General features: G+C 35.9%; 1 protein-coding gene across 12 annotated transcripts in view; it reads right to left on the bottom strand.

The window, feature by feature from the left end:
* The window catches only part of CEP162 (centrosomal protein 162), a 103,394-nt gene that overhangs the window by 37,873 nt on the left and 50,145 nt on the right, over nucleotides 1–15,376 (bottom strand). For 9 of the 12 annotated variants that reach the window (XR_007059227.1, XM_005248674.5, NM_001286206.2 and 6 more), the window contains 6 exons: nucleotides 13,092–13,225; nucleotides 12,605–12,832; nucleotides 11,926–12,066; nucleotides 9,484–9,596; nucleotides 7,206–7,311; nucleotides 1,022–1,148 (listed from right to left, as the gene is read on the bottom strand). Coding sequence is in view for 11 of the 12 variants with exons in the window: in XM_005248674.5 (XP_005248731.1) it covers nucleotides 1,022–1,148; nucleotides 7,206–7,311; nucleotides 9,484–9,596; nucleotides 11,926–12,066; nucleotides 12,605–12,832; nucleotides 13,092–13,225 (849 nt within the window). In the remaining variant the exon portion in view is untranslated. Of the gene's footprint in view, nucleotides 1–1,021; nucleotides 1,149–7,205; nucleotides 7,312–9,483; nucleotides 9,597–11,925; nucleotides 12,067–12,604; nucleotides 12,833–13,091; nucleotides 13,226–15,376 lie in introns of those variants that run through there. The other 3 variants (XM_047418389.1, XM_047418390.1, XM_011535594.3) reach the window with 3 other exon arrangements.

The raw sequence follows: 15,376 nt of genomic DNA on the forward strand, positions 1-15,376 counted from the left end.
ACCTTATATAGCAAAGTTGGCTATGTAGAAATTTTTGATAAATTATTTTCCACTAACCTTTTTAAAATTATAAAAGTAAAGTTGTTTCCATGGGAAAATAAATGTTGGATTTAAGAAATAATAAAAATGAAGAACGCCCATAATTATACTAAAAAGTAACAACGACAAACATTCAGGAGTGCTTATTACCATTTATTATGTTATTTACTACAACAAACTTTTACAGTGGATACTACTATTATTGTTGTTACTCTATATTTTACGGAAAAGGGAAGCAAATGTCATTTTCTTACAAACAGGTCAGAATGGATTTCTCTGCACATATCTTACACTGAAGCTCATAATACTGCAGAGGAAAGATCCTATCTTTTGCAAACAAGGGCTCCTCTGATCTAACTTTCTATCCCTGTGTTCTGCCACTCTAAGTTATAGAACATACTTCTGCAGCCTCTCTCCATCCCTTCACTTTCAAATTTTACTACCTGTCAAGGCCCAGCTCAAATGCCACTCTGCCACGAAACCCTCATTTGGTATCCCAATTCCTCTCATGTTTGTTTGTAATTTTTTCTTACATTATGAGTATTCTTACCTTACTCCCCTTGGTTTTCGTAGTAGGGACCATGCCACATTTATCTATGTGTTCTTTATAAAACCCAGTGCACTACTATTTATTCACTTGGCAAATACACAACAGCCTACAAAGTTTCAGACCCAGGGAAAAGAAGACAGGCCTTGCCCTCAGGAAGGTCACAGTCTAGCTAGGATGACAGATTTATGAACGACCAAACATAAATGCCATGAATCCAAAATAATTCTTGATTTTCTCTTGTCTTGCAGTTATTCCTGTTAAACCCAATCAAATTCACACATCTTTTAATAACTAATTTTAAAAAATGTTTCTAAAATTACAATATACTTCAAGGAGTAGCATTTTGATTATACCATTCAATTTCTATTACTTAAATTCAACATTAGAACAGTTATGATTATAAAGGTACACTGTTTCAGCTCAGTGTTTTACCTGTGACATAAGCAATCTGATCTTTGGCTTGGTCCCTCTCTTTCTTCATTTTTTCGAAGTCTACTTCAAGAGCTTGTTTGTCTTGTTTCAGTCTTTTGATGTCTTCCAATAAACTGTCTTTTTCTTTCTTGATATTCAAAAGAAATATAAAAGCAAGTTTTTTACAACCACAATAAATTGTGGTATAGTCTTTCAAACAATCCATCATGAACACTACGGCAAAATATTTTCTCTAAATTTTAGCTCTGATGTTATTACTACCACCTGCCCCACCCCAGAATTTTTAATGGCATGCAATAGCCTATTAAAATCAGTTCTAATTATCTCAACACAGCATTAAAGACCTCTCAATCTATTGTTCTAACTTCTTCCATATACTAACCATATTGATGACCCATGAATTCTCTTGCTTGGATTACTGTAATAAGCTCTTAACTAGTATGCCTCTTCTACCTCTGGCCCCTACAGTCTATTCTCACAGCAGCCACATGAATTGCTGTACAGTCAGTTAATGTCATTCTCCACCAAAAACTCTCTGCTGGCCAGGCGTGGTGGCTCATGCCTGTAATCTCAGTACTTTGGGAGGCCAAGGTGGGCGGATCACTTGAGGTCAGGAATTCGAGACCAGTATGGCCAACAAGGTGAAACCACGTCTCTACTAAAAATACAAAATTAGCCAGGCAAGGTGGTGCCCGCCACCATGACAAATGGGATCTAATTAAACTAAAGAGCTTCTGCTTAGCAAAAAGAAACTATCGTCAGAGTGAACAGGCAACCTACAGAATGGGAGGAAATTTTTGCAATTTATCCATCTGACAAAGGACTAATATCCAGAATCTACAAGGAACTTAAACAAATTTACAAAAAAAAAAAAAAACCATCAAAAAGTGGGTGAAGGATATAGACAGACTCTTCTCAAAAGACGACATTTATGCGGTCAACAAACATATGAAAAAAAGCTCATCATCACTGGTCATAGAGAAATGCAAATCAAAACCACAATGAGATACCATCTCAAGCCATTAGAATGATGATCATTAAAAAGTCTGGAAACAACAGATGCTGGCAAGGATGCGGAGAAACAGGAATGCTTTTACACTGTTGGTGGGAGCGTAAATTAGTTCAACCATTGTGGAAGACAGTGTGGTGATTCCTCAAGGATCTAGAACTAGAAATACCATTTGACTCAGCAATCCCATTACTGGGTATATACCCAAAGGATTATAAATCATTCTACTATAAAGACACATGCACACATATGTTTATTGCAGCACTATGTACAATAGCAAAGACTTGGAACCAACCCAAATGCCCAATGATAGACTGGATAAAGAAAATGTGGCACATGTACACCATGGAATACTATGCAGCCATAAAAAGGAATGAATTCATGTCCTTTGCAGGGCCATGGATGAAGCCGGAAACCATCACTCTTAGCAAACTAACACAGGAACAGAAAACCGAACACTGCATGTTCTCACTCATAAGTGGGAGCTGAAGAATGAGAACACATGGACACAGGGAGGGGAACATCACACAAGGGTACCTGTCGGGGGGTGAGGGGCAAGGGGAGGAGAGAATTAGGACAAATACCTAATGCAGGTGGGGCTTAAAACCTACATGATAGGTTGATAGGGGCAGCAAACCACCATGGCACATGTATACCTATGTAACAAACCTGCCCATTCAGTACATGTATCCCAGAACTTAAAGTAAAATAAACAAAACAAAACAAACAAAAAAAAAGAAAACTCCCTGCTGGCTCCTTGCAGGGTTAACCCAAAGTCCTTACCATGACCTTTAGTGTCATATAACCCAGCTTTACCCATGACTGATCACCTCTTCTATAAATCCCCACCTATTCCATTCTAGCCAGAGACCTCCTTGCTGTGTTTTGAACACTCCTACCTCAAGGGGTCTGCACTGTCTCTTCTGCTTGCAGTGCTTTGGGACCCAGATAGCCAGGCAGTTTCCTCCCTCACTTCATCAGGATTTCTGCTCACATGAAGCCCCAGAAGGCCTTCCTGACCACCTTATCTAAAATAGCAAGCCCCATCCTGGCCCCCAGGCACACAGTTTCATTTTTTTCTCACAGCACTCATCACCACCTGACATATAAAATGCAGGATTTTATTTTGCCAAACTTTGTATCATAAATGCATAAAAAATGCTTGGGACATCAAAAAATAAAAATGGAATTCTCAATATGGACTACATTCTATACTACTCTCAGAGGTCAAAGTGTTGTGCCCCATTCCTCTGCTTGACAAAAACCGTACTTACCTTTCAAAGCTCACTTCAAGTTAAGCTAAGCTATTCCTGATAACCCCCTCTTCTGTCTCCCACAAACTTCAGTTATACCTCTAGTATGGCATTTATTATTGTTTCCTATGACACTGATTCATGTATAGGTAACCTCTTCTCTTTATTAGGCTGAAGGCTCTACGGGGACCAACACTGATTTAGTACTACTTGTTTACTTTATGGTACTAAGTGCATGGCATGTATTAGATAAATGTACGCTAAACTGAACCTATGAAACTACTGGACTCAACAGCAGTCAACTTGGTATTTAAGTTTCAAAATGACAAGTTCTTATAAACTCTGTTTTATACTGTCTTACAATTTAAAATTCAGTCTTAGAAAGAAAATAAAAGCATTTGTAAAGCATTATATAATCTTAGTTTCTAGCTGCATCGCAGATTTAACTGCATCATTTCATTGTTTAATCTTCTGTAGATGTCCTTTCAGGAGAGTCCTGAAACTAAAATTGATCTAAAAGTTGCCGAATGCTCTTTCTGCAAAAACCTGTTGCTTAATTAGTTCAATCAATTTAGAAAAGTTATCTATTAGTGTCTACTTCATGGAATTACAGTATTTTAGAATTCAAAGAACTGTAAACATCTTAAGTTTAATCATGCCATCAATCAATGGAAGGCTTGCATATTTCCAGGGACAGAGAATGCCTACCTTCAAGAAAGTGAGTATGCCTCATGTTAAACCTGTTGGCCAGAGGCTTTTGGCTGACAAGTACTTTCCCTCTCTCATAAGTTACCGTGCAGACATTCAGAGAGGCCTCTGCTACTCTTGTCTTTACCCACTTATGCTTCAAAGGCCTCTAGCTTCTGGAAGGTAACAAACTCCGGGCTTTTGCATTTGCTCTTCCCTCTGGCTTGAAGCCTGAATCTTTGCATGGCTGGCTGTTCCTCCTCTTCAGCTCTCAACTCAAACATCTCTTTCTCAGAGAGAGCTTTCCTGTCCACACTATTAAATGCTGCCTTACCTCTAACTCATCACCCATTATTCTCTATTTTCATTTTCTTCAAAGCACTTCTACCTGTAATTATTCACTTGTGTATCTGGTGTTGGTCTTCTTCACTAGAACATATGTTCCTGGTGAGCAAGATCTGGGTCTGTCTTATTTACCTACTACATTTCCAATGCTTGGATGAGTGCCTGGTATATGGCAGGTGTTCAATAAAGGCTGTCTGATTAAATGAGTTGTAGTCAGCCCCATTCTCCTCCCAATCCTGGGATACTAAAAGGAAAGGGCTCAGGAACTTACCTTTTATTACATTTCCACCCATACTTTATAACCAACTAACATTTTAAGAATATACTAATTGGCACTAATTTTTAAGGTAAAAAGTAGACTATACATAAATCATAAATATACTTGACATGATTATTTTGTTGATTTATCCCAGTATAAATAATTTTTGCTCTAAAACTATTTAAGAATACCAAAGTAAATGAAAATAAAGGTATGTTTACATTCTATCTTGCAGTATGTGCACAAAAAAATTCCCAAATAATTTTTACGATTATTTTAAACTAACACCTTTATTTTTTTTCCCCTGATTTCTTTTAGGCTTCCCCTGACTTTGCTAGCTTCAACATGATGGGACTAAATGTGGACTTTTACTCATTTATGTTGAGTGGGACTTATTGTGCTTCCTAATTTGAGAATTCACCTTTTACCACTTCTAGAGAATCCTCAGCCATTACCTATTAAAACATTTAAATGTGCAATTAGGGCATCTCATATTTCTTAATATTTGTGATACTTTACATTTCTCTATTTTTCTGTTTCACTCTGAGTTCCCTTAAATTGGTCTTTCAGTTTAATGCTTTCCTTAGTTGTTTATGATCATCTACTTAATTCTACTTTCTTAATTTCCAGCATATTTCATTCCCACAGCTCTGTTTAATGTTTGTTTGAATTTGCCTGGCCTGTTTTGTTCTTTTTGCATACTTTCTCATTTATTTTGTATATTTAAGCACTTTAAGTCTATTTATTTTATAGCAATTCTATTGGGGTTCTAATCCTGCTGTAAAGCACCTCATGCCTGCTGATGGTGGGCTGTTTCTCTAGGTTTTGTAATTTTGCATTGTGAGCAAATCATCAGCTGGATTTTATCTGTGGGAATACTGTGTTGCTTGGGTTCAAGGGTGTATACTTCTAAGAATTGTTTTGCATTTGTTTCTTCTAAATCTACCAGAGGTTATCACTGACTCAGAACTAATGTTATTTTTTTAGTTTGCGCATTGCAAGGTAGTGTCAATTCAAATACTAAACACAAATGAGGCAGAAGAGGTACCATTTACATTGAACAACCATTAAAGTATGTGCAGAGGAGACTTTTTACCTCTCTCCACCCAGAGACCAAGTTAAGACAGAAAAGCTTCCTTGACATCTCAGCTTCTTTTTTCCTAATCCACTATTTTAGTGAAAGATGTGGTCTTTGAAGGGTATCCCGTCTACACTTTGCTGTTAAAGCTCAGGCCTCTTGGTTACTAAACTTACTGCTATCTTTTTATCCATCCTTACTTTTGGCTTCTAAAGATTTCCCTTACTTTCTTGAGAGCATGGTTATCCATTTACAAGATATTTATTATATTTTTTTTCCCAGTATCTTTTGGTGTTGTTAGTGGGAGTTTTCAAATTTTCTGCCATTAAAATATGTTCAAAACAGGACTTTTAAAAGGTAAAAACAACAGCCTTTGGAACTAATGCTAATGCTATGCTTGAAACCTTACTTTGTTCCCCCAAGCCTTCATAAAATATGGTAATATTAATTTCTGCTTTAGCTTGCTATTTTTGAGGCCCACTGAAAAGGAGGGGTCGTCCAATAATTCATTTACCTTTCTACCTATCTGCCTTCCTACATACACATGCAACCAAAGGAAGTTTCCTATAATGGATTCATATGTAAAGCTGTATTTTATATACTACAAAACCCTGTTACCTTTATTAACTATGGTATGTTTCTATTTCTTTGTAACCTAACTCTGTGTGGTAAATTACTATTAAAAAATAACTGGAATTTTTCTAATTTACATAATAATTGAAATAGATTGGAAGGGCTTTTTAGTTTAGTACTATCATTCTCAAAGGGAGGGGTGGGAGGAAGTAACTGTACTCCACAGGCCGTGTTTGGAAATGTGGCAGAGTGGTTTTAATTGTTAAAATGACTGGTGGGTGCTATAAGCACATAGTTCTTAGGGACAGGGATGATAAAAATCATGCAGTGCATGAATTACTTCTGCTTAAAATAGAACTACCCTGCCTTAAATTCCCAAACTCCTTCTATTGATAAATACTGCTTTAGAAAACTCTAGGCCATATTCTTTATAATACAATTTAATAAACATAAAAAAGTTATGGAACAGCATTGCATTTCAACTTTATGTTAGGTATGTGGAATATAAATACTTGTAAGATACAGTCTCTGCTCTCTAGAAGTGCAGTCTACTTCGGAAGACAGGTAGAAAGCTACTAACTTTTAAAGGTAAATAATTATCTCCAAATTACACTATTTAGGCTGCACGCTTTCAAATAAGGAATTTGTTTGAAATAAGGTATACATGTCCTAAATAAAATCATGCCTCTGATATGGCTCTATGATAAATGCACCTGATGAGATGTGACAAATGCCTGATGAGAGGCTGAATCATAAAGACAATGACATCTAAAAACAGTAATATAATGTTTCCTCTATACTAAGGTCATGTGCATACTATATGCTAATTTAAGATATTTCTCCCTAAGTTTTAAATGGTATGAAATTTATAGATTTTTTAATACATTTCTATGTAATTTTTTAATAAAAATTTGTATAAAAATGGGGATTTTTATAAAACCTTTATTATCCCTAATAGTCAAAATCGTTATGCAACTTACCTGTGCCATCCGTAGTTCTGCTAACAGATCTGTAAAATTCTGATTTCTTGTGGGCTCTGAATCTTCAACTACTTGAGACAGAAAACGACTTTTGTGCATCTGTTCTCTAATTTATTTTGAAAATAAAAAGTTGTTTTTCTTTCTTACCAGGTGCTCCTTTCAGTAGAAAATATTCAATTCTTAAAAATTAAAAACTAACATACATTGAAACTGTATGCATAAATGAAGGTAAAATTTTCATTTAATCTAAAGATTAAAATACTACCATACTAAAAGAGAAATATACTTTAAGGGAAATGCTTATATCTATTCTAAAAGAACTGAAACCTAAGATTATTGGTTTATTTATAATATAAAAATATTAATTCCCAATTCTCAGAGGAAAAAAATTAATCGTCTACAAAGATGCGCTGCATTTTTCTGTGGGGTTGTTAATGCAGTCCTTGTCATATTGTTCTAGAATCTTTTCTGAGAGTCGCCAGTCTCATACATGGAAACTAACAAACAAAACCAAACACAGCCTAATATCTGGACTTTAGATTCAATTTTCCTGTTATTCCAGAGATATTATAGAAGGAGTTTTGGATTCCACATAAGATCATCTAACCCTAATGTACTAAAGAAACCATTTATTTCATTCTGAAAGTTAATTTACAGCTTCAATTTTGGATCCTGGGATAGATCTTCTTTTAGAAGCCAAGTAGTACAAGATAAGATATTTTAAAATAACTTTACTGAAACATCTGGGAAAAAAAGCATAAGTAGGCCAGGCACGGTGGCTCACGCCTGTAATCCCAGCACGTTGGGAGGCCGAGGCAGGTGGATCACGAGGTCAGGAGATAGAGACCATCCTGGCTAACATGGTGAAACTCTGTCTCTACTAAAAAATACAAAAAATTAGCCGGGCATGGTGGCGGGTGCCTGTAGTCCCAGATACTCGGGAGGCTGAGGCAGGAGAATGGCATGAACCTGGGAGGCAGAGCTTGCAGTGAGCCGAGATTACGCCATTGCACTCCAGCCTGGGTGACAGAGCGAGACTCCGTCTCAAAAAAAAAAAAAAAAAAAAAAAAAAAAAGCGTAAGTAAATGCATTCATGCATTACCACTGTGCAGATTATCACACATGGCCTGGGGTTACACTTACCAACTTACAAGGAGAAAGAGGATATATATATATAGTCTGCTACCAAGTGTGTCTTTTTCTATTTTGCCTGACAGATCAGTATGAGCTATTATTAGCAGCCCTGCCTCTTAGGCCCTAGGTTATATAACCAAAAAGGGGGAGAAGTATATAAATAAATTCAGTAAACATTCATGATACTCATGGGTCAGAAACTTCTGAGAACAGTCCTTTCTGAGTGATTAGGTGTTTACATAAAAAGATACACAAATAGTGGTCATTTTCTAAAAGAAGATAGTATGCTAGCTTGTCCATGTTCACGGGCCCAGCTTTTTCACTTAATATGTTAAAGTTGGAAGCAGTAACGTCCAAAAGACCTTATAGTCTGAAATATGATTCCTAAGTAGGTGCTGGTGCTCCATAACCCTGCCATGATAAATGCTGGCTGAAAACAACTTACAGGTGCTCCTTTAAACCGCAGCCCCTGACCCGGCATAAAGGGCAGCCCCTACTCCTTTCCACAGTACACTCCGGCCAGTGACTAAGGCTGCCCCCTTGCCTCAAGCAGGGACCAACTCTGGTACAATTTATTCTCCAGAGCTTCTTGGGAGGAGAATGAAGCCAGTCTCCAGCTGAGACCACTATTTGCCCTCCCCCTACCTCACCGTTCCTGCTTCCCTTGCTCCCTTCTCCTGGGAGTTATCCTTCAGTATATCATCTCCACAAGGACCTCCACCATCTCAGGCTCTGCTTCTATGGAACCTGACCCAAGAAGATCATAAGTGATACTGTATGACCATTCTTTTTTAGTATTATTAATCAAATGGTTCCTTGGGAAATGGTTAATTATCTCATTCTTAATGACTGATCAAGAGGAATACTATATATTCAATTTCCTGAAACTGATGTTTGAATCAGTTATGAACATAAATTCATATGAATTCAAATATGAATATGCTGAAAATACTATCAAGTATGTGCTGGCCATCTAACACCAAAAGAAAAATCCACTGAGTATTAAACATAAAATTGGAAATGTGTACAAATAAAAATAAAATTTTACTATGTCTAAGTAAAAATAAATGTATTATTAACATAATAAGAAAATGCTTGAAATAGTCTAAGTATATTTGATTTTAAGAAGTTCAAAAGGACTTACTTTAAGGAAGCTACCTCACTGAATAAACTTTGGTTTTCCTTAAACATTCGCTCCTCATTTTTCTTGTTTTGTTCTTGGAGATCTTTTACTTGATTATATAATCGTTCATTTTCCTTTTTAAAAACAGAAAACTGCATTTTAGTTAAAAGTCATTAGTACTTATATAACATAATATATGTGCTCATAATAGATTAATCCTTTAAACGGCCTTTTAAGTTTCTTTAGCTTTTGCGTATGTAAAGTCTTTTTTAAACTTTTTATATTATATCTGAAGAAAATTTGGTGTCTAAAAACAGTTCTTTCCATAACATTTAAAATGGCTAATTGAAAAAATAATTTGCAAAATTCCCAAAGCCAAAGGGCCTAAGGTCAGTTTAATGCACTGCATTTCACAGGAGGTAAGTGGGAGAGTGGCTGAAGGAATCACCACATCCTGACTGTGTGGACCCGGGTGGAAAGACCCAGTGAGACCCTTTACATTCTTTTCTGTTTCTGGCTCAAGAGAGGGGAAAAAAAAAATCACTGCTGGAGGAAGATTCTGGAAGTCTGGCTGCCAGTGGTGAGGTAATCAGATGTACCTACGGGTGCTCATACTTGTATCTGCTACTGACTGTAAACAGGGAGTTAAAGACCGGTGTTTCTGAAAGTTGTCAGGACAAGGCAGAGCAGAGGACAGACCCAGTTCACCACAAGGCTTGAGCTAAAGAGCTAAAGAGTGACTCAACCAGTTGAGATCAGAGGGAGAAGAGATGGTGCCAATCTGCACTTAGATGCCCTCCCTGGCTTATGAACCTGTTTAAAATTAAAAATCAGATGCAAACCAAGGGCTTTGAGTATCTAATGCAAACTATAGACTGTTTTACCATGTCTGGAATAGTGCCTGGCGACAGTCTGTGCTTAAATACATGAAGAATTAACAAACATTTCCCCCTACTATTTAGACACATAAATTTTGTGTTGTCTCTGTTGGAGGGGTTGGTCGGCATACTTATGGGTCTGTTAAATTTTCTTAAAAACCTCTGTTTTTTAATGGCAAGATCAAACTGGCAGAAGAATTTGAATGGTTCCCAGTAACTGAAGGCAGTGTGTCCTGCAAAATCATTCCAATTCAGTTACAGCAAACATTGTAATCATTGATGGGGCAATGCTTTTGATGATGTCCCTGGGTGATAATGCATGTTACTAAGGCTCAAGGTTCAAGTTACAGTTGTCAAAAGAGAAGAATGTAATGAGAGACAAGAAAGGAGAGAAGTAAGAAAAAAGGGTGTGGGAGGCACAGAACAAAGATAAAGTCTTATGTTGATTTGAAGATAACTAAACCTGTCCTGGTTGACTGTCAGGCTAGCAACACCAAGATACCAAGATGTCATTACACATTGCAAACATCTGCCTCTATAGGACCCAAAGATTTTCTTGCATTAAATTCAAAATTTTTTCACCCTCAGGGCATTAGCAATTAATTTCAGATTCATATTTCTGAATATAATAGCAAAACCAGCCAATACTGTCTACTGAAGAGCATTACAGGAAACTAAGAAAAGATAGGACAGTTTTTAAGAAACTGGCTATTAAAAATAACAGGTAACTTTCATTGATCGATTGCTGTGTGTCACACTAAGAGTGTACAGATGCTCCTCAACTTGCTTGCCCCGCAAATAGCTATATCCCAATAAGGCCAAAAAGTAAGTAAAAAATGTCCTAAGTTGAAAATGCACTTAATACCCTGATAAACCCAATGTAAAGTCAAAAAATAGTAAGTAAAACTTACGATGAAGTTACATCCTGATAAGCCCATCATAAATTAAAACTTTGTTAAGTCAAACCAGTGGAAGTTAGGGATCCTATATATTATTATCCCCACTTCACAGATGAAGAAACTGGATTAGAAAGATTAAGTGATGCCCAAGGCACACAGCAGGTGGTAGAGCTAAGACTCAAAACCACATTTTTCTAATCCAGAACCCATGCTTTTACCATTTAATTCTCCTCATGAGAAATACACAGACTAGTCAAATTATTATCTCCTATTTGCCAGGATTACCATTATCTGTTAAATAAGCAGAGAAGTATTTTAATATACCTTTTTTTTTTTTTTTGAGACAGAGTCTCACTCTGTTGCCTAGGCTGGAGTGCAGTGATGTGATCTCAGCTCACTGCAATCTCTGCCTCCTAGGTTCAAGCGATTCTCTTGCCTCAACCTCCCAAGTAGCTGGGATGACAGGTGTGCGCCACCATGCCCAGCCAATTTTTTTTATTTTTAGTAGAGATGGTGTTTCACCATGTTGGCCAGGCTGGTCTCGAACTCCTGACCTCAGGTGATCCGCCCACCTCATCCTCCCAAAGTGCTGGGATTACAGGCATAAGCCACTGTGCCTGGCCTGCCTTATTTTTATAACTAAAAGATCAAGAGTAAATTTGCCATATGTTGAAGAATTGCCATACCTGTTGATATCCTTGAAGAAGTGTCTCTTGTTCTTGTATTTCTTTTTGGATTTGCTTCAACTTTTCTCCAGTGACAGGATCAGCTGCTTCTCCAAAATGTAACCACCTTTGTTTTTTGTTTGTTTCTTCAAAGCTGCTTAACTTGGAGAAATTGCAGAAATTGTTTTATTTGGGGAAGGAAATGATAAGGTGAGAAGTGAGAAAGAATAACAGGAAACTCCTATTTAGATCGAAAACTGTCTTATAATATTGAACATATTAGAATGTGACATAACTAGTTAAATCAGCAAAGTGCTGTTTTGTGCTGATGGTGCTGGGTGAGTAAAGGAACTCACAAATGCTACACAATGTCATCCTCTGGGTCTATACCTTCTATAGCAGTTCTTGCTCAAACTTTCATTTCTTTGAAGGTCAGAATGAACTGATTTTCTTTAAAAAGGACTGCTAACAGAAGAAAACCATAAAAATGAGCCAATTTAAATTTAATTTTCTCCCCCAAGGGTTCAAAATTTAGGCTCTCATGTACGGAATCACTCTTGGAACCATTCTATATTTTATACAGCAAATACATCAAGTCAAACATCTCTAGGAACCAAGGATGACAATGTATTTAGCAGGGAATTCAGCTTTTTTTTTTTTTAATAAATATAAAAAAATACCAGAACAATGTATCTAGTACCTTGGCTTGAAGAATATAATTATCTTGATTCAATTTGAAGAGTTCTTTTTCCTGTTGTTTCTTTAGTTCTTCCAACTTATTTTCTAGTTCTTTCTCCTTTTCTGAGAATGTGGCTTTAATTTGCTCAATTAGGGCTTGCGCACCCCTCCATTTATCCTCTGCTTCCTGAACTCTTTTAAACATAAGTAATTTCTTCTCCTTGTTCTCACCACAGTATCCTAAGGAATCCTTTCAAGACAAAGCATTACTTCATTACAGTAGACTTATGTATAAGATTTGAACACAGGTGGTTAATTAAAAAAAGAATAAAAAGGACATGGTTAATAATGTTCTATTATATAAGAAAATTAACTGTTTAGTAAGAGTGATTACAGTATCACTCAAAGGAAAAGACATTTCAGTCCTTATTATATTTTGTTATATATAATTTAGTTTTAATATAATTTTAGAACATAAAACATTATGATTATTAATTTTGAATACCTACAGTCTGAAACTGAATACAGGAATCAGTTTCTGTGGGATTTTCAGACTTCTTACGAGTAGACAGGCAACTTTCAGTTTTGTGAGCTGGTTTATCCAAAGCTGCAGGCTTGATGAGTTTTGTTCCAGATAAGATTTCTAAATATTATAAACAATGTATAAATGCACCACAAATGTAAAGTTAAATGTATACTCATCAATTGTGTCCAATAACTAAAAATACAATGGAAACACAAAAATGAGGATCTCAGAATAGGCTGATGGACTACACTATAACACAGCTGTTTCACTATAACTGATTGCATTCAGAAAGATTGCCACTCCATAATCAACATTCTACTAAATTTGACACAGATGGCCAATTAACCCAAGACTCATGTCAATTGACAAATGGAGCTAAATAAATGTGAGAATGTGGATAGAAATAACTTTCAGAGTTTATTAGTTTTAAATAAATTCTTCTGTTAAATGTTCATAGCAATAATCAATCAAAATTTCTAAATGACAAATCAAGGAGCAGCTGATAACATTATGAAACATTTTGGTGCGGACTAAGTGTGCTTTCAGAGCACATTTTTTATAAACAATGTATATCATGATATTATAGTATCAATGGAATAATATAAATTGCACGGAGGATTTTATAATTGTTAATCTAAATCAGATTTTAAAAGATTAACTCTGCTATAAAAACTTGGCAATATATATTAAATTATAAAAAAAGTGATTAATATATATTCTGTTCCAATTTTCAGCTTTTAAGGTAACCTGTAAATTCTTAAACAAGAAATCATTCTAAGGCTAATATAGTATTCAGTTAGTAATAAACAATGTTTAAGAACAGTACCTAAAAAGGATCCTAAGGTCCATATTCAAATACTACAGGTCCTGAGTTCAATAAACAATATCTGATTGCTTTAGAGATAAATTAAGAATTTCAAAATTTTAATTTTTAAAAATTTATTCAAGATGCTTTTTAAATGTAGAGTTTACTTTTTAATTACAAATGAATGTTATACATGATTATTAAATATTTGGAAAATATAGAGCAGTCAAAAGAAAAAACAAATTACCAACAGTCCCTCACCAAAAGATTTCATTTCAATTATTTTTCCAGGTATGTGAAGGTTTTCCTTATAGAGTTATGATCATATTTAATTAGACCGATGTAAGTTTTCTGGAGAAATTTCTAAAAGTGTTCATGAAGAGACTGTTTTAAGTCATTGTAAGAGCAGGCTTTCAAAACTTCCAAATCACTGGAGGCTCATTAAATGAATGGGGTGTGATCTGCTAGCACATGATTCTCCTTAGGACAAGGCAGCTAGTACAGGTGGAACGTCCCGGATCAGAAAATCCAAAATCCAAACTGCTCTAAAATCTGAAATTTTTTGAGGGTCAACATGACGCTCATAGAAAAATGCTTACAGGAACGTTTAGGATTTTGGATTTTTGGATTGGAGATGCTAAACTGGTAAATATAATGCAAATACTCCAAAATCCAATGAAATCTGAAATTTGAAACACTTCTGGTCCCAGGCTTTTTGGATACATAATACTCAACCTATCACATGTTCTTGTTCATAGTTGTAGTCTGCCAGTCCTTTTATGCCAGAGTTCTCCCTTCTTGAATTCTTAATTTTGACTTCTCAGTGGACTAAAGTATCAAGTAATTATATTTATTTTAATTTTTTTTTTTGAGACAGAGTCTCGCTCTGTTTCCCAGGCTGGAGTGTATTTTTTAAAAATTTTAATAATATTTATTTAACACAATATATCCAACATATTAAGATTTTGACATAAATGAATCATTAAAAATGGGGATATTTTATGTTGTTTGTTCATACTACATCTTAGAAGTACAAAAGGTAATTTATTTACAAGACATCTCAATTCAGACTAGCTACATTTCAAATGCTAAATGGCCATGTGTGGCCAGTGGCTGCCACAGTGGACAAGACAGTTCTCACCTCCGCCCATCCTCCAGCCTCATCTCCTCATCCCCTTCCCTAGTTGATAGGCTAACTACATTGACTATTTATTGAAGGATTCCTAAGTGACAATCACTGTACTCATATTTTCTCATTTTATCCACCCTTCCCTGTACCCCACCACTATATGCATACAGGAAAAACTTTCTGGGTTTGGTTTTCTTTCATTTGCATTTCAGAGACTTGGAAACTGAGACAAAGAGAGATTAAGGAACTAATCCCAGCTCACGTGGCCTGTATGTGGCAGGGCTCCAGGCCAGATCTGCTGGATGTTTCCTCTCAACACTGTGCTGTCCTGCCT

Source organism: Homo sapiens, chromosome 6 (assembly GCF_000001405.40).
Source record: "Homo sapiens chromosome 6, GRCh38.p14 Primary Assembly".
Lineage (NCBI taxonomy): Eukaryota > Metazoa > Chordata > Mammalia > Primates > Hominidae > Homo > Homo sapiens.